Source organism: Homo sapiens, chromosome 1, assembly GCF_000001405.40.
Source record: "Homo sapiens chromosome 1, GRCh38.p14 Primary Assembly".
Taxonomy (NCBI): domain Eukaryota; kingdom Metazoa; phylum Chordata; class Mammalia; order Primates; family Hominidae; genus Homo; species Homo sapiens.
Window position 1 is genome coordinate 77,923,089 of NC_000001.11, and position 19,238 is coordinate 77,942,326.

At 38.6% G+C, this 19,238-nt stretch overlaps 1 protein-coding gene across 7 annotated transcripts in view; it reads left to right on the forward strand.

The window, feature by feature from the left end:
* The window catches only part of NEXN (nexilin F-actin binding protein), a 55,272-nt gene that overhangs the window by 34,465 nt on the left and 1,569 nt on the right, over positions 1 to 19,238 (forward strand). For 4 of the 7 annotated variants that reach the window (NM_144573.4, XM_005271322.5, NM_001172309.2 and 1 more), the window contains 7 exons: positions 2,100 to 2,141; positions 3,326 to 3,523; positions 3,628 to 3,804; positions 6,228 to 6,416; positions 10,194 to 10,391; positions 12,735 to 12,956; positions 18,935 to 19,120. In NM_144573.4, coding sequence (NP_653174.3) covers positions 2,100 to 2,141; positions 3,326 to 3,523; positions 3,628 to 3,804; positions 6,228 to 6,416; positions 10,194 to 10,391; positions 12,735 to 12,956; positions 18,935 to 19,120 — 1,212 coding nt within the window. The remainder of the gene's footprint in view (positions 1 to 2,099; positions 2,142 to 3,325; positions 3,524 to 3,627; positions 3,805 to 6,227; positions 6,417 to 10,193; positions 10,392 to 12,734; positions 12,957 to 18,934; positions 19,121 to 19,238) is intronic. The other 3 variants (XM_005271325.5, XM_005271323.5, XM_005271327.5) reach the window with 3 other exon arrangements.

Consider the following 19,238-nt stretch of genomic DNA (forward strand, 5'->3'; position numbering starts at 1 on the left):
GCTCAAGTGATCCTCCCACCTCAGCCTCCATAGTAGCTGGGACTACAGGTGTGTGCCACGACACCCAGCTAATTTTTTTTTTTTTTTTTTTGTAGAGAGAGGGTCTCGCCATGTTGCCCAGGTTGGTCTTGAACTCCTGGGCTCAATCGGCCTGCCTCAGCCTCCCAAAATGCTGTGTTTACAGGCATGAGCCACCATGCCTGGCCAGGTATCTTAATAAAATGTATTATTTCTTTCTTGAGAGAAAATATAGAAAAGTGTGATGATGAGAGAACAGGGACTTAGCCTAGTTCCTAGTATGAAGCAGGGTACAACAAAATTCCCTTACACTGCATGAGGAGTTAATGAACTCTTTAACCACTCTTTCATTGGTTTTAAAAGTCAAATTAAAACAATAAACAATCTGAATTCTTACTTTTTTAACGGTTCCATTTTCCCATTGCTTTTGTTTTCTTTTCCTGAGATCTTAAACACTGCATTATTTAAACCACCTATCTTCTCTCAATTATGTTTGCTAAGAAGAGTACATTAGTCTTCCTCTAAAGCTAAACTAACGGTATTTCTTATGAGTAATGGGTAAATTGAGCTCTCTTTTTTTTTTTTTTTTTTTTGAGAGGGACTCTTGCTCTGTCAGGCTGGAGTGCAGTGGTGTGATCTCAGCTCAATGCAACCTCTGCCTCCCGGGTTCACACGATTCTCCTGCACCAGCCTCCCGAGTAGCTGGGACTACAGGCGTGTGCCACCACACCCAGCTAATTTTTCTATTTTTAGTAGAGACGGGGTTTCACCATGTTGGGCAGGATGGTCTTGATCTCTTGACCTCGTGATCCGCCCGCCTCAGCCTCTCAAAGTGCTGGGATTATAGGCGTGAGCCATTGTGCCTGGCCAAGCTCTCACTTTTTAAATGAGGAGCTTTCCTACTTAGACCTCGTCAAAATATAGAGAAAACATGACTATCAGAATTATTTTCCCTTCTAAACTATTCTATCCCAGCTGGGCATGGTGGCTCACGCCTGTAATCCCAGCACTTTGGGAGGCCAAGACACGCAGATCACTTGGGGTCAGGAGTTGGAGACCAGCCTGGCCAACATGGTGAAACCCCATCTCTACTAAAAATACAGAAATTAGCCAGGCGTGATGGTGCACACCTGTAGTACCAGCTACTCAGGAGGCTGAGGCAGGAGAATTGCTTGAACCCAGCATGCAGAAGTTGCAGTGACCTGAGACTACGACACTACACTCCAGCCTGGGTGACAGCACGAGACTCCATCTCAAAAAAAAAAATAAACTAGCCTACATCTTTCACTGCACTGTTATTGTATCAGTTTTATTTTTGCCCTATATTTATGTTGTAAAATATAATCATGACAAGTATTAGATTGCTAATGGATAGGTTTTCCTTTGATGGGGCAGTGACAAAGAATGGAGAAGTGTTTCTATGTGTCTTGGTTTAAATTGCTAATTAAATTAATAATTGCTGCTTGTAAGCTCAATAGCCTGGTCATAAGAGTTTGGTCTGTTATTCAGTTTCTGGGTTACAGAGGGTAGGCTTTATCTTAATTTTTTCTGTTTTTTTTTCTTTTTTTCTTGAAACAGGGTCTCACTCTGTCACTCACACTGGAGTGCAGTGGCATGAACATGGCTCACTGCAGCCTGAACCTCCTGGGCTCAAGTGATCCTCCTGCCTCAGCCTCCAGAGTAGCTGGGACCACAGGTGCGTGCCACCATGCCCAGCTAACTTTTGTACTTTTTGTAGAGAAGGGATCTCGCCATGTTGCCCAAGCTGGTCTTGAACTCCTGGGCTCAAATGATCTGTCCACCTTGGCTTCCCAAAGTGCTGGGATTACAGGCATGAGCCACCTCGTCCAGCCTGATTGTTTTCTTAATATGTTGTTTTCTGGATATTGATATTGATATCAATATGCAACAATAAATATAAAGGATATATTTGGCTAATTTGGAACAACATAAACATATTTCAAAAATTATAAATTTGAAAATTTACTATAAGTCACAACTAAATTACTTTCCAGTTGTTGTTTAAAAGCAAAAAGTAGAAATCTGATGTAATGTAATGATATGAAATTCTCATTCAATAGATTGAGGACATAAACAATACGGGAACTGAATCAGCATCAGAGGTAAACAGACATTTCCTTTAATGAAACATTCACCTAAAATTATCTGATTCACAAATTATCTTTTAGTATAAGAAAAAACTAAAAGAGCTTTTATTATTTTTATTATAAATGTAGAAATAACAAAAAAGTATGTTTTGCAAAGCAAGAGCATACTTTTGCACTTTCAAACACTATAGCTTAGTGTTTTTAAAGAAAAGTATGTTTTGCTTTCATAGTCAGGTTAGAAAGACAAGCCTTATTAGTCTCAGTTTGAGATACTCTGCCAAGACAACGTATTTTTTGAACTGTTACTAACAGCTGAGATTGTTGAACGCTAACATTTATAAAAAGGCAATTTTATTTTCATCATTTGTCTTCTTTCCTCAGAGTTCCTGAGAGTTTATGTTTTGGTTTTTATATAATAGTACAGAGTGCAGTATCTGTTACCAAGAAGAAATGTTCAACAACCACAAAAATTTTAGTCATCCCTTTTATCTAACAGAATAAGTTAAAAATCTTTCAATTTGATGGTGTGCCCAAAACTACAGCCCATAAATTGGGAGCAATTTTATCTCAGGGCCATGTGTTTCATTTCACCACTCTTCTTAGTTTTTAAAAAAGTCAGAGGCAACAACAGATTATATAATTAAAATGAATTAAATAATAATTTTAAAATATTTTAATACAATCAAATACCAGAGAGTTTATCTATAATATATATAAATGTTTAATAAATCACTTGGAAATACTGTGTTTTTTTCTCACTAAATACTGGTTTCATTAAGTATTTAAAAGCTTGCATAGAGAGAAAAATCATATGAGGAAACTTTTTTTTGTTTAAACTGAATCTATCCACCATCAAATTGATTTAGAGTATATTCACATGCACATTTTGTGGATTAGTGCACAAATAGCTTAATTCAGGCAATGTCACTGCAGTTTCGTTATCCAAACAGCTGTATTAACTCCATCTTCTAGGAAATAGAATGCTTCTTGAACCTCGTCAGCAATGGATTTCAGCAAGATTAACTCATAATGCACAAAGAATTTAGAGTAGGAGATATTTAATAATAATCTGTAAAAAAATGTTCTTCATAATAACATTGATGACAGTGTAATGAAATTCACCTATGATGGAGGTAAAGTCCCATGAAACCCAATTTTGATTAAGAAGAAATAGGCTAATTATCTATTTTATAAAATAGGAAGGAGATGATTCACTACTTATAACTGTGGTACCTGTCAAATCATATAAAACATCTGGAAAAATGAAAAAGAATTTTGAGGATCTAGAAAAAGAACGTGAAGAGAAAGAAAGGATCAAGTACGAGGAAGATAAAAGAATAAGATATGAAGAACAACGACCATCTCTCAAGGAAGCAAAGTGTCTTTCATTAGTTATGGTAAATTTTTGTTTGTTTGTTTTCTAAGAAACAAATCAAGGCAGTTTAAGTTAGCAGCATTTTCCTTTATGACTAAAAGGTGGGTTTTCATAACGTTTTCTTAGGATGATGAAATAGAAAGTGAAGCAAAAAAAGAATCACTTTCTCCCGGAAAATTGAAACTAACTTTTGAAGAACTGGAGCGACAAAGACAAGAAAACCGAAAGAAGCAAGCTGAAGAGGAAGCAAGAAAACGTTTAGAAGAAGAGAAGCGTGCTTTTGAAGAAGCAAGGCGGCAAATGGTAAATCTACATATTTAAACCTTACAATTAATATTAATGAAGTTAGCCGACTTAAGATAAGGTTTACTACTACAAATTCAAAGAGATTTTACATATAGAAGGGCTGATTTTCTAATTGTATTCATATTTCATATATAAAATACATCTAGGCTAGGCACGGTGGCTCATGCTGTAATCCCAGCACTTTGGGAGGCCAAGGTGGGTAGATCACCTGAGGTCAGGAGTTTGAAACCAGCCTGGCCAACACTGTGAAATCCCTGTAATCCCAGCTGCTTGGGAGGCTAAGGCACGAGAATCACTTGAACTTAGGCGATGGAGGTTGCAGTGAGCTGAGATCACGCCATTGCACTCCAGCCTGGGTAACAGAATGAGACTGTCTCAAAAAAAAAAATCCATACTGTTTTCCAGTTTTCACTCTGGGGCATTTTACCCAATATGCTTTAAATTTTTATTTTTATACATTGTTATTAATGTATAAATATGCAAAATAATTACTCAATGAACCTGGTTTCCTTCATCTGTTAGTTCAATCTGCAAAGTACTTAATGACATGGGTGCGGGACTGATTATAAGTGTAAACTTGTCCTCAGCAGTCCAGTTTTTCAACTGTTTGAACATATCAAAATAACAGTTTACGGTGGAATATGCAGTTTGTCCTATTAAGTGTATGTGTGTGCATATTTGTGTGCATGCCTCTGTGTGTGTGTGTCTGTGTGTGTGTGTGTGTGTGTGTGTGTGTGTAGTGTGGTTAAGAGCATGGATTGTGGGGCCAGATTGTCTAGATTCAGATATCAGCCATTTACTAACTGTGTAACCATGGACAACTGTTTTAATCTCTCGCTGTGTTAATTAATTAAATCTCTCTTAGTTTCTTCATTTTTAAAATGGTAAAAATGAAAGCGCCTACTTCTTTTTTTTTTTAACTTCCACAATGACTTGGATTTTTTTTCAATGCCTATTTCTTAAATGGTTAAACAAGTTAATATCTAGGAAGCACTTAAAATGGTGTTTGTTACATATACTAAGTTCTTTGAAAATGTTAATTATTACTATGGTATTAATAGATTTATCAACAGAAAGTAAAACTGAAATAAGAAAACACTGATTCCAAACCTCGTTTTAAGATTTAAAAATGCGCCAGGCATGGTGGCCATGCCTGTAATCTCAGCACTTTGGAAGGCTGAGGCAGGCAGATCCCTTGAGCCCAGGAGTTTGAGACCAGCCTGAGCAACATGTGGAAACCATGTCTCTACAAAAACAAATACAAAAATTAGCCAGGTGTGGTGGCACAGACCTGTAGTCCAAGCTCCCCGGGTGCTGAGGCGAGAGGATTGCTTGAGCCCGGGAAATCAAGGCTACGGCGAACTATGAATGAGCCACTGGACTCCAGCCTGGGTGACAGAGTGAGACCCTGTCTCAAAAAAAAAAAAAAAGGATCTAAAAATGGAATATTTGTAATTTTAAAGTTACAGAACTTTCTTGATCAGCTTTCTTGAATGATGTTCTAAGAATTATATATATAAAAATTTAATTTTCTAGACATTTATTTGAAAATGTTATTACTCGGGTATAGCTGCATAATATCTGCACATTTTAGATATTTCTGGTGGTCAACTTAATAAAGAAATAGTATTGTTAAATAAATAATACATTTCAATTGATATTATAGTAAATTTAATAATAAACCTTTAATGATAAAATCATAAAGCTGGAATTTTACATAAAATAGTTCTAGATAATAATCTTTTATCTGATTAGTATAAGGTACCATAGTTCACAGTAAAAAAAAAAATACAAAAATTACAAAATGAGAACATTATTTTACTACCAAAGAGATTCTGTGTAGATATACTTGAACCCCAATTATAGTACACACATACGCATTTTATATTTGTTCTGGGAAAGTTAATACTCAACAGTAACCCCTCACTGCAGCCTCAACCTACTGGGCTCAAGGGATCCTCCCACCTCAGCTTCTCGAGTAGCTGGGACTACAGGCACACACCACCACACTGGCTATAATGTGTTTTTTGGTTTTTAGTAGAGACGAAGTCTTGCTATGTTGCCCAGGCTGGTCTTGAACTCCTGGGTTCAAGTGATCCTCCTGCCTCCTAAAGTTCTGGAATTACAGGCGTGAGCCGCCACAACACCTGGCTAAAAATGTTTTAATATTCAATTTTATCTATAGAAATTTGGCTTATTTGAGAAGTTTTATTTAACCTGAGTACATCTTTATATGGAATTTCTCCAAATTTGAATATTTTATCATAGAAGACATTAAAAAGGAAGGGGATTTAGGTCAAGTATATTAAGGGCATTGAAACTCCTGTGTGATAGTGGCTAATTCTGTGCCTTTTGATTAATAATTCATTCCTTTTTCTGATGAACCTCAATTCTTAGTAATGAATTGTTTATTTGGTTAGGTAAATGAAGATGAGGAAAACCAAGACACAGCAAAAATTTTTAAAGGGTACCGCCCTGGTAAACTCAAACTCAGTTTTGAAGAAATGGAAAGGCAAAGAAGAGAAGATGAAAAAAGGAAAGCAGAAGAAGAAGCCAGAAGGAGAATAGAGGAAGAAAAGAAGGCGTTTGCTGAAGCAAGGAGAAATATGGTAAGACAGAAGCTAACTGGAGAATGCTATTAGAATTCACCTTTGAGAATATGTTAATAGAATCATTAGACTTTAGAGAATACCCTATTATTTCTGGAAACTGTGCCAAGAGTAGAAATGGCAAATATGTTTTAAAGTCTCCCATGGAATAACACCAGTTGGTTGAAGGTATTTGCTTCAATTTAGTGTTCAGAAGATTCTGCTTTAAATTGCCATGCTTGGCACAAAGGATGGAATATTATCTCCCTTCTCTGGGAAGGCATGTTTTCCAGAACTAAGTATCCAAGGAAGAAGAAGAAGTAGGGAGTTTCCTCCCTCAACTTTTCTTTCTTCCTCTCCATTCTTTCGCCACCTCCTTCCCATACTCCCTTTCTCCCTCCTTCATTCCTTTATTTCCTTCCTTTCCTTCTTTCAGTTTTCATCCCACCTACTATATATTAAATGACCTGAGTCATTTAATCAGAATTATTTCTCTCTTCAAAATGCTCACTCATCACTCCTGGAAATTGATACCTAACTTAACTGTCACAAGGTTATGACTGTACTTCCTATACCAGTTTTATGTTTGTACAATGTACAGTTATCTGACAAACAATTTTGAAGCAATTTGAGACTAGAGCACTGCATCTCCTTCTTGAAACACTGTAATTAGCTTTGGTGATATCGTAACCTGGTTTTCTTCCTCTGTATGGGTGAGCATCACACACATATGTCCAAGTGTTTATTTGGCTTTATTGCCCACACAGATACTCAAATCAGAAACGTGGAAGCCTGAAACACTTCCATCTTCTTATTCATGCCTGATGTCCAACCAGTCACTAAGTCTCGTTTATTCTACCTCCTAAATCACTATGAAATCTGTCAGTTTTCCCCCCATTTTCACCGCCACTACTATAATCCAAGTTACTGTTACAACTTGCCTGGGGCCAACTCCTCATTAACTTGCTTTCTTACCTGTAACCTATTCTTTCCTGTAAGGCCAGGAGTGATCTTTAAAAAGAAAGAAATTTTGATTGTGTTTTGTTACTGTTTTGCTTAATATTTCCCCACTTTTCTTAAGCAAAAATCCAAAAACTTCTAAAACAAATTTCTTTATAGTCTTGCTCTTGTATATTGCTCTCGTTTCATTTCTTGATTCTTCCTGAATCTGCTCTTTGTTCCAAATATGCTGAATTTGTTTGTATTTCTTCAAAGTGAGACTCAGCCTTCACACTGTCTGAAAGATGTCCCTCACTCCTTTCCCTATGCTCTGCTAACTCCAATTCATAACTTTCCATTTCCTCTGGAAAGCCTTTCCTGATAATAAACACCTTCCATGAATTCTTACAGCATTTAGTACTCTTCTATCATAGCGCTAATCCTGTATTGTTACCACTTATGGCTGTCTTTTCCACTCCATGAGGCCAAGACTGTTCATCAAACATGTGGCACAATGCTTAGCGTAGCAGACCTCCAATAAATGTTGATGGAACAAGTGATATTGAAATCTTACGTGCAGTAGGTAATCCCTGATTCATAAATGGTTTCTACATAGAAGTCCTACAGACGTTGTGAATGCACTTAATTTTTGGAGAATAAGCAGGTTTAGAAGCGGTAGAAGAAGCCGGGCGCGGTGGCTCACGCCTGTAATCCCAGCACTTTGGGAGGCCGAGGCGGGCGGATCACGAGGTCAGGAGATCGAGACCATCCTGGCTAACATGTTGAAACCCCGTCTCTACTAAAAATACAAAAAAAAAAAAAAAAAAAAAAAAAAAAAAAAATTAGCCGGGCGTGTTGGCGGGCACCTGTAGTCCCAGCTACTCAGAGGCTGAGGCAGGAGAATCGCATGAACCTGGGAGGCGGAGCTTGCAGTGAGCCAAGATCTCGCCACTGCACTCCAGCCTGGGGGACAGAGTGAGACTCCGTCTCAAAAAAAAAAAAAAAAAAAAAAAAAAAAAGAAGCGGTAGAAGAGAAGTAACTGTGAAGATTACTAGACCTAGTCCTTGGGGCAGATTTGTAGGCCAATACTGCCTTTTTACCATGATTCACTAGCGGAAAAAATGCAGGCGAGAAAACTGCATTAAAACAAAACCAAGTTTCCTAAAGACATTTCTAAAGAGAAGAGAGAAAACCTTCCTCTTACATTTATATTGTTTTCTTATCCACAAATAAGTATTGTAATTTATCCAGGAATAAGTATTGTAATTTCATACCATAGCTTAGTTCATGCATATGTAAAATTTAAAAATTTCAGGCAATCTTTGAATTGTAAACCACTTAAACATTGTTTCTGAGTTGAAATAGTTCTGTGGTAAAGCCTGGATTACCTTGATAAAACTTGGAGCAAATGAATAATACCCCTTGCCTCTCTCATTCCCCTGTGTGTATTTCAACCACAGAGTCACAGTTCAGGCCAGAGGGTTATGTTATACCGCGCCCGGCCTATAATCTTTTGTTTTTTTTGAGATGGAGTCTCGCTGTCACCCAGGCTGGAGTACAATGGTGCAATCTCGGCTCACTGCAACTTCCACCTCCTGGGTTCACGTGATTCTCCTGCCTCAGCCTCCCCAGTAGCTGGGATTACAGGCGCCCACCACCACACCTGGCTAATTTTTGTATTTTTAGTAGAGACGGGGTTTCACCATGTTAGTCAGGCTGGTCTCGAACTCCTGACCTCATGATCCACCTGCCTTGGCCTCCCAAAGTGCTGGGATTACAGGCATGAGCCACTGTGCCCGGCCTATAATCTTATTAGAAATATTTTGAAGTTTGAATCCCAGCTTTGCCACATAGTATTTGTGTTGACTTTAGACAATTACTTTTCAGTGCCTCAGTTTCTTTCTCTGTAAAATGAGGATATTAGTAACTACTTCATAGGGTCATAGGATTAAATAAATTAATACATTTTACATGTATTAATACACTTTACGTGCTTATAACTGCACTTGGCAGCTCCAAGTATTAACTATTATTATTTCTTTAAAATTAGCCAGACAGCAAATAAACAATAAACTCATAGCACTAAGAATGATTTTTGCCTGATTATGAAGAGATCATGATGGGTTATCTAATTCATTCAGACAAAATCATGATTAACTTAAATGCTTTAATTACCAACCTGGGGAGTCGTTTCAATCCAATTAAAAAATGTTCTCAAATTAGGAAATCTTAATGTCTAATTTAAAGTACTCATGGTATGAATAAATTATTTCTTTGTCTTCACTGTAATGGAGAATAGATGGTTACCATTTCCTTCATAACCACAAAATACCTCGGTCTTACATTTTCTAATAATTCTTCCCTTTTATTTATTTATTTTTGAACACTGTGTTGAGACTTCCTTGTTTACTGTTAAGTCCCCTTGTTTTTTGTTCAATGTGAAACCTATTTAAGAAATCTGGCCGGGTGCGTGGCTCACGCCTGTAATCCCAGCACTTTGGGAGGCCAAGGCAGACGGATCACCTGTCGGGAGTTCGAGACCAGCCTGACCAACATGGAGAAACCCCGTCTCTACTAAAAATACAAAATTAGCCGGGCGTGGTGGCGCATGCCTGTAATCCCAGCTACTTGGGAGGCTGAGGCAGGAGAATCGCTTGAATCTGGGAGGCAGAGGTTGTAGTGAGCTGAGATCACATCATTGCACTCCAGCCTGGGCAATAAGAGTGAAACTCCATCTCAAAAAACAAAAACAAAAACTAAAAACAAACAAAAAAAAGAAATCCCAGTTTCTTCAAGAAATAGTCCCTTTTTAGTATGTGTAATTCTGGCCAGAGTGATAAAATAATTATTTTAAATAGGTAGTAGATGATGACTCCCCAGAGATGTATAAGACAATCTCTCAAGAATTTCTTACACCGGGAAAACTGGAAATTAATTTTGAAGAATTATTAAAACAAAAAATGGAAGAAGAAAAACGACGAACAGAGGAGGAACGGAAGCATAAGCTAGAAATGGAGAAACAAGAATTTGAACAACTGAGACAGGAAATGGGAGAGGTAAGATTTTAAGAAATATCTATATTCCCCATATTTATTAAGCTAAATATTTTACTTATATCACCTTATAATAACTTTGTATTATTATTCACCTTTAGGATAGTTGACATAGTATTATGAGGTGCTTACATGGTACAGGCGTCTGCACAATTATGTGTACTTTCTAGTCTGCTTTAACTACTCCTTCCTTGCTAGTTTAATAAAAAAGTATCTAGGTTTGCAAGTGACTGAGCTATTACTATTTATTTATATTTGTAGTTCATAAATATGCATATATTCAATACATATATTATATATAGACTATACAGTGCCAGCTTCATGGGCATGCACCTTGTGCACTCACAAGACGCCATGTTCAGAAGGCCTTGCATTTGGGGTTTAATGCTGAGGTTACTGTCTTCAAATCCTTTTTGTGGTGTGAACATGGCTCACTGCAGCCTCAACCTCCCATGCTCAAGTGATCCTCATGTCTCAGCCTTCTGTGTAGCTGAGACTTGGGGTGCACGCAGCACCATGTCTGGCTAATTTTTAATTTTTTTTTTTTTTTTGAGATGGAGTCTTGCTCTGTTGCCCAGGCTGGAGTGCAATGGCACAATCTTGGTTCATTGCAACCTCCACCTCCCAGGTTCAAGCAATTCTCCTGCCTCAGCCTCCCGAGTAACTGGGATTACAGGCATGTGCCACGATGCCCGGCTAATTTTTGTATTTTTGGTAGAGATGGGGTTTCACCATGTCGGCCAGGCTGATCTCGAACTCCTGACTTCAGGTGATCCGCCCACCTCGGCCTCCCAAAGTGCTGGTTATTACAGGCATGAGCCACCGCACCCGGCCTTTTTGTTTTCTTTTCTAAAGATGGGGTGATCGCACTTTATTGCCCAGGCTGGTCTCAAACTTCTGGCAAGCGATCCTCTGACCTGAGCCTTCCACAGTTCTGGGATTACAGGCATTAGCCATCATGCCCAGCCACTGTCTTGAAATTCTTAATTTTACCTTTGAATTTGTGTGTTGTATGTAAGTGAAAACTGATTGGACGATGAAGCATGCCCTATATAGGAGCTTTTGCTCACTAAAGCTTTACGCTGTCTTTCCTGCCTCCCTGGAATGGGTTTTCATCAGCCCCCTTTCCCAGGGCCCTGCCTAACCTTCTTCCCTCTTCGGACTCTGCTGCCATCCCTCTGGGTGGCCCAGGTTGCGTGGGCAGCAGAAGAGAAAGGTAGAATGGGGGCGTGTATTCGCCATCAGCCTTGGCCCCTGCCAGGGGCCAGGCCACACACATGAACAGGGTCAGGGTCTAAGATGTAGCCTCATGACTTGGACTGGCAATGCTATGGCATGTTTGGCAGGCAACTTGGAGGGGTCCTCTCACCAATTTATAACCTAGGAACCAGAAATACTTAATTATTAACTTGAGTATTAAGAGTGATGTTTACTTTGTAAGACTACCATAAAATCAAAAGTAGGAAAAATTTTAGATACTGTGGCTCTATTTAGAGATGAAGAAAATCATACAGTGGGTAAGTAACTGGGCAAAAGCCTGCACAGTATCAGAGCCAGGACTAGAACTCATATGACTCCTAGTCCAGTGTTCTTTTTTGTTTGTTTGAGACAAAGTCTTGCTGTGTCACCCAGCCTGGAGTGCAGTGGCACAATCTCGGCTCACTACAACCTCCACCTCAGCCTCCCAAGTAGCTGGGATTACAGGCACAAGCCACCATGCCCGGCTAATTTTTGTATTTTTAGTAGAAAGGGGGTTTCACCATGTTGTCCAGGCTGGTCTTGAACTCCCGACCTCAGGTGATCTGCCTACCTTGGCCTCCCTAAGTGCTGGGATTACAGGCGTGAGCCACTGCACCCAGCCTAGTGTTCTTTCAATTATTTTTTGCCTTCCCCTAACAAAGATCTTCCTACAACTCCTACAAAAAGCTAATCTTGTCATGAATATTTTAGTTTTAGCAAGTTATCAAGGAATGTCAGAGGATTTTAGCCATATTTCCTAATGAGAATAGCATTTTAAGTAGAATGTTTTCAATAATGCCTTAAATTTGTAGCACCATTTTGAGTTAGTAAATTTGGACCCTGCATTTAGAGAAGAGGTTAAACTGTATTTTTGGTTTCAAATAAGAAATAGTGCACATCTTTTGGATGGTTTCTTGTACAAACTAATATGCTGATATTCAATCTTTTTTTTTTGAGTCACACATGGTGGCATGTGCCTGTAGTCCCAGCTCCTTGGGAAGCTGAGGCAGGAGGATTGCTTAAACACAGGAATTCAAGGCCAGCCTTGGCAACATAGTGAGACTCTCTCAAAAACAGCAGCAACAAACTTATTAATTTTTTTTGAAGGAAGAGGAAGAAAATGAAACCTTTGGATTGAGCAGAGAATATGAAGAACTGATCAAATTAAAAAGGAGTGGCTCTATTCAAGCTAAAAACCTAAAAAGCAAGTTTGAAAAAATTGGACAGTTGTCTGAAAAAGAAATACAGAAAAAAATAGAAGAAGAGCGAGCAAGAAGGAGAGCAATTGACCTTGAAATTAAAGAGCGAGAAGCTGAAAATTTTCATGAGGTATATTACCTTTATATTTAACATAGTTATGGTACAGTAATGATAATAAATTTAACAGAAGTAACATTGGCTTTGAAATAAGTTTTAGTACTTAAAATTAATCATTGGTATATACAGTAATCTGGGAAGTAAATAGCAAAACACATGTAGATCTTAGACTTTGAAAGACTAGCATTGTTTCAAAATCACCTTTATCAGTGTTAAAACCTATAGTGAATGTCAAATGGTTCACTCTAGCAAAAATGTTCAAAAATATTTTTTGGCTGGGCGTGGTGGCTCACGCCTATAATCCCAGCACTTTGGGAGGCCAAGGAGGGAGGATCACATGATCCAGGAGTCCTAGGCTAGCCTGGGTAACAAAGTGAAACCCCATCTCTACAAAAAAAGATACAACTAAAATAATATATTTTTTGGCATATGTTTTAGTTGAGTCAGTAGAACCAGTGTATATTCAAGTTAAACTCCAGATTATTCATAATTTCTTAGATGAAACCCATAAAGCCTCTAGTATTTGCTCAAAGTTACAGTAGTAATTCGGTGTGGAAGAGCCTAAATGAGAATTCTGATGACATGAATTTGAATTATCTTCAAACATAAAATAAAGAGGCAATCACTGACCTGCAACATCCCTTCTAGCTTAAGGACTATTTCTGTGATTATGAATACTAGTTTAAATGAGATCTAGAAATTTTTTTTCTGCCAGAATTGCCATCCTATAATATTTAACAGAACTTAACCTATATTCTATTTTGATCAAATATTCAGCTAGCAAAACAGGTATGGGAATTTGGGAGGGCCTTCAGAGGAGACTGAATAAAAGGACAGAATGAAGAAACTGTGTGCCAATTATTGGGACTATAAGCAATTCATTATTATTGAGGCATGCACGAGTGCGAAGGACAGCAAAATGAAGATGCAAGCATAACTGAGATGATCATGGAGTCTTAGATGCCATGTGAAGGGATTTTTAAAACATGGATATTGTCTGGGCACAGTGGCTCACACCTGTAGTCTCAGCACTTTGGGAGGCCGAGGTGGGTGGGTCACTTGAGCCATTTCAAGACCAGCCTGGGCAACATGGCAAAACCGTATCTGTACAAAAAATACAAATTATCCGAGCACAGTGGTGCATGTCTGTAGTCCCAGTTACTTGGGAGGCTGAGGTGGGAGGACTGATTGAGCCTGGGTGGTTGAGGCTGCGGTGAACTGTGATTGCACCACTGCACTCCAGCCTGGGGGTCAGAGCAAGACCCTGTCTCTAACACAATAAAGCATGGATATTGTCAGACAGATATTGTCTATATAGCTGGATCATGCTGAAGCTATATGGTCTTAGATACATGCATTAAAAAAATTATTTGAGGCCAGGCACGGTGGCTCACGCCTGTAATCCCAAGCACTTTGGGAGGCCGAGGTGGGTGGATCACCTGAGGTCAGGAGTTCAAGACCAGTCTGGCCAACATAGTGAAACCCTGTCTCTACAAAAATACAAAAATTAGCCAGGCATAATGGCGGGTGCCTATAATCCCACCTACTAGGGAGGCTGAGGCAGGAGTATTGCTTGAACCCGGGAGGTGGAGACTGCAGTGAGCTGAGATCGCACCACTGCACTCTAGCCTTGGCGACAGAGCGAGTCTCCATCTCAAAAAAATAAAAAATAAAAAATAAAAAAAATTATTTGAATGACTACTATGTTCCAGGGACTGCTTTGGACACAAGACATCAGTAACTAAACTTACAGTCCCTGTTCATATAGTGTTTAGAATCTAATGGATGGGTTGGGGATTGGGAGGGATAGAAAACAATTATCAGGTGGTTAACAAACAAAAGCTATTAAGATTAATAAAGCAGAGTAAGGGAAATAAGAGTATGTGTTACTGTTTTGTACAGCGTGGTCAGAGGCGGCCTGAGGATTTGAACTAGGTCTGGTATGGAAAGGACAGGTAAGTATGCAGGAGTCAAAACTGGCAGGACTTGGGGATGGTGATGGAGAGGAAGAGGAAGGAATCATAGTGACAGGGTATACAGTAACAATACGGGAAACCAGACTAGAGTTTGGAAGGAAAAGAGGTTCCATAAGCTATTTGACACAAATGGAGATGCTGTGAAACATCAACCAATCAATCTGATTTGCATCTAAGCTTGTGTGACATACAAGCCTAAGGCCTGGGTTAGTTGTAGATAAACCTTTTCATCATTGCCAAAAGCAAACACCATTTCTATTTTTTAACATCTACAAAATGTTGAACATTTTTAACATGTTGGATCTGTTGTTTTGGGGATATATATGTGGATATAATAAGCATTTAAGAAGTTTAGTCTACAGCCGGGTGCGGTGGCTCACACCTGTAATCCCGGCACTTTGGGAGGCCGAGGCGGGCGGATCACCAGGTCAAGAGATCGAGACCATCCTGGCCAACATGGTGAAACCCCGTCTCTACTAAAAATACAAAAATTAGCTGGGCGTGGTGGCACGGGTCTATAGTCCCAGCTACTCAGGAGGCTGAGACTGCACTCCAGCCTGGCGACAGAGCAAGACTGTCTCAAAAAAAAAAAAAAAAAAGTTCAGTCTAATGACGTATGATGAAGAAAATTCTAATTATTCTAAGTACTATAATAGAAGTTATTACAGAATCAAATTGGGTGGTCAATATACCTAGGATATGTTTAACAGGGCCAAGAAGGTGACATTTAAGGTGAGTGTGAAGGCTGAATAAAAGTTGCAGGTAAAGAGGAGAGACATTCCAGATAGAGGAGAAGCCTTCCAGATTAACTCAGAGGTTGTAAAAATGTATCTGGGGAATGGAAAACAGGTTCAAAGGACAAGGCAAGGTTCACAGAATAAGTGATAGGATACAAGGTTGTAAAAATAGGTTGTGGCTAGTTAATGAAAGTCTTTTTAAACCTTGCAGGCTCTATGATCTGGGCAACAATGTTAATAACTTTTTAGGTCAGAGTAATAAAATATTTATGTTTATGCAAGAATTCTGGGACCATGGAGGATGAACTGGAAGACAGGCATGAAGTTGGGGCCAAGGGAGAAAAACAGACCTAAATAACAAAACTAGGTTAGACTCTGGTATGGATAGGAGTTGAACAAACAAAAAAGGGTTATAGGTTGCTTTTTGGGCAGTTGGTTGCGGAGGGGTCTACCATTACTTCAGGATATCTAGATGATGCTATAGAGAAATCAGGTCTGGGGAGTTGGGGTGAATAGTTTTGGCATGTAAAGTTTGAGTGATATTTGGATAAGGTAAAGGCAGTCTAACAAAGGTCCTGAACTAAGGTGAGAGGCAAGCAGATACCAACTTTTACAGACAGCACTGGAAAGTACAAGTAGATAAAGCTGCTTATAAAGTTAATTGTTGAAAGTGAATTAAGCCCTGGAGAACACCAATATTTAGTGGATGACTGGCCAAACATCAGCCTTTATAGGTGTAACATGGAAGGTAAAGAAAAGTTCAATCAGCATGCACTTGCTTCCTTTTGTTAATGGTAGTGAAACCTTAGCAGTTATACCTATACCTACAAAATATGTAGGTAATAACAAAAATAAGATAGGTGACTTCTTGTTTTTGCTATTACTGGCTCTCTAGTATACATGGATGTGGTATTAGGACATGGCTGAACTTTTATACCCTATCAGAATATCCTGAATGGAGTTTCCTCTGGAGGACAATGAAGTCCCTCCTATCATATCTTTCTGGCTTAAAGATTATTGAAATCGTATTTAAAAACTTGTTAGCGGCTGAGCGCGGTGGTTTATGCCTGTAATTCCCAGCACTTTGGGAGGCGGAGGCAGGCGGATCACCTGAGGTCAGGAGTTCGAGACCAGCCTGGCCAACATGGCGAAACCCTGTCTCTACTAAAAATACAAAAATTAGCCGGGCGTGGTGGCAGACGCCTATAATCCCAGCTACACAGGAGGTTGAGGCAGGAGAACGGCTTGAACCCGGGAGACAGGGGTTGCAGTGAGCCGAGATCACGCCACTGCACTCCAGCCTGGGTGACACAGCGAGAAATATCAATGTTCAATGTGTCTTCAAAATGTTTATATTCTTTCAAGGCTCAACTCATTTACATAACCTTACCTAATCAAAGAATTCCATCCCAGCTCCTGTAGCACTTAAACATGTACCCCTCATTTGGTACTTAAATGCCTTATATAACATTTGAATTTCTAGTTAGATTTTCCAATAAAGTCTACTCCAAAACCACCTTATGCCCCATTGTATCTCAAGGAAAATACACTGCCTAACTGCTGACTTTAATATTCATGGGCTGAGAGTACCAATGCCCTATAAAGAATGTACCTACAGAATACCATTTATATTACTATCTTAGATTTCTTTCCCAGAAACATGTTTTAACCTGGCTTTTTAGGAGCTCAAGAAAAGTTGACAATTGTACTTGACTGCAGAACTGTGCATAAATTTTCAGCTCAAGAGAAATTATTTTACTTACTCAAATTTATTTTCTAAATGCAGGTTTGAGGCAGCTAAATGAATAGTTATGAATTTGCATAAACAGGCTAAAATCTGAAAGGCAAGTTATTAACTGGGAGGGACTCAGAATAGCAATTATTGTACCTGCTGAAATATTCCATCTTAAAGGTTCATTTGGTAAACAACAAAAAAAGTGTATACTGTGAACAAAGAGGTCCTTTTTAAATTTAAGTCTCAGAAGTCTGTTGAGATGAAACTACAGTAAGCAAATCATGGTTTAACATGTATTTTTCTTAGTCTTTTATGTATAATAATTTTTTAAAAAATGCTGTTCATTCATTCATTAGCAACAACCATAGTCAGGCATTATATTTATCAACTGAAGGTAAATAATGGCACAAAATAGAATTTACGCACCAGGTAGCAGGTTGTCTGATGTCCCATGATTTTCCAACATCAAATAAAAAATCTAATGCAGAACCAGAAAAACCATGCAACTACTTTAACCACCTTCTACTCCTTTCATCGGAAATGAGGTAGGTACAAGGTACGAGGTGTGAGGTGCAACACCTCAAACTGAAGTGAAACACCCGAACCAAGATTTTTCTTATATAGGCAATTAAACTGCTTGTTTCAAATTTCCCTTTAGTTGGATGTGGCAATCTGGAGCAATTTCCTCATAGTACTATGAAATATAAATGGTGAGATTTCCAACTAGATCCACAAATGCCTAGGTAGTTAGAAACCAAAAGTCAAGAAACCAAAAGTCAACAACTGAAGTACTTTAGAAACCATGAATTAACTACCCACATTAACCCCACTCCACCAAAACTGCTCTAGACCTTATCATTACCAAATTATTATTTTCCTAGACACACTATTTGACAGTTGAGACTCTGCTCTTAAATCACTCCCTTATTAGCATTTCGCCCTTCCAATTCACCCCTCAGATGACTCAAACATATTTTACTTAGTGATTTCCCCATGTTTCAGCCATTGCCTCTTTCAACAGTTGTCTCTACCTGTTTTTCTACTTGTAAACACCCTTCCCCTGCCATTTCACCATCAATACATTATTTGGAGGGAATTCATTAGGGACATAGTTCTAAGAAGGGTAAAGAAGGAAAATCATTAAGTGAGAAAACATTTATTATGCAGTAGGGAATGGTATGGACTTACAGGAATCAAGGGAGTACTTTTAACAATTATTTAGAATGTATAGCATTCTGACCTTTTTCAGTTAAGTGCTATCAAAACCAAGCAGAGTTGGTAGGACAAACAGGCTAGGATCCCAGTGATATTGTGATCTTTACATTTGGAGAAAAAGTCTATAACTAAGAGAATGCTTCATAAATGTATCTATCACTTTTCCTGAACTGGAGAGTTAGAAAAAATCTGAGTGTCTGCAGTGTAGCAAAAATATGCATTATAAACATGTTAATCATTTTGTGCTTCTAAACACCTTTAGAACTAGTAACGCTTCTTTGTTTTTAGAAGGCAAGCAATTGTTAATCTTGGCCCACTTTCTTGCAGGAAGATGATGTTGATGTTAGGCCTGCAAGAAAAAGCGAGGCTCCATTTACTCACAAAGTGAATATGAAAGCTAGATTTGAACAAATGGCTAAGGCAAGAGAAGAAGAAGAACAAAGAAGAATTGAAGAACAAAAGTTACTACGCATGCAGTTTGAACAAAGGGAAATTGATGCAGCACTACAAAAGGTACCAGGCTTATGTATCCTTTATTTTCCAAAGATGCCCTCTTAAAACCCATAGTTTTATAATTAGGTAGGTTAAAAAAATGTTTTAATGGTTTTCTTTCAAGTCACTGGAATGTACT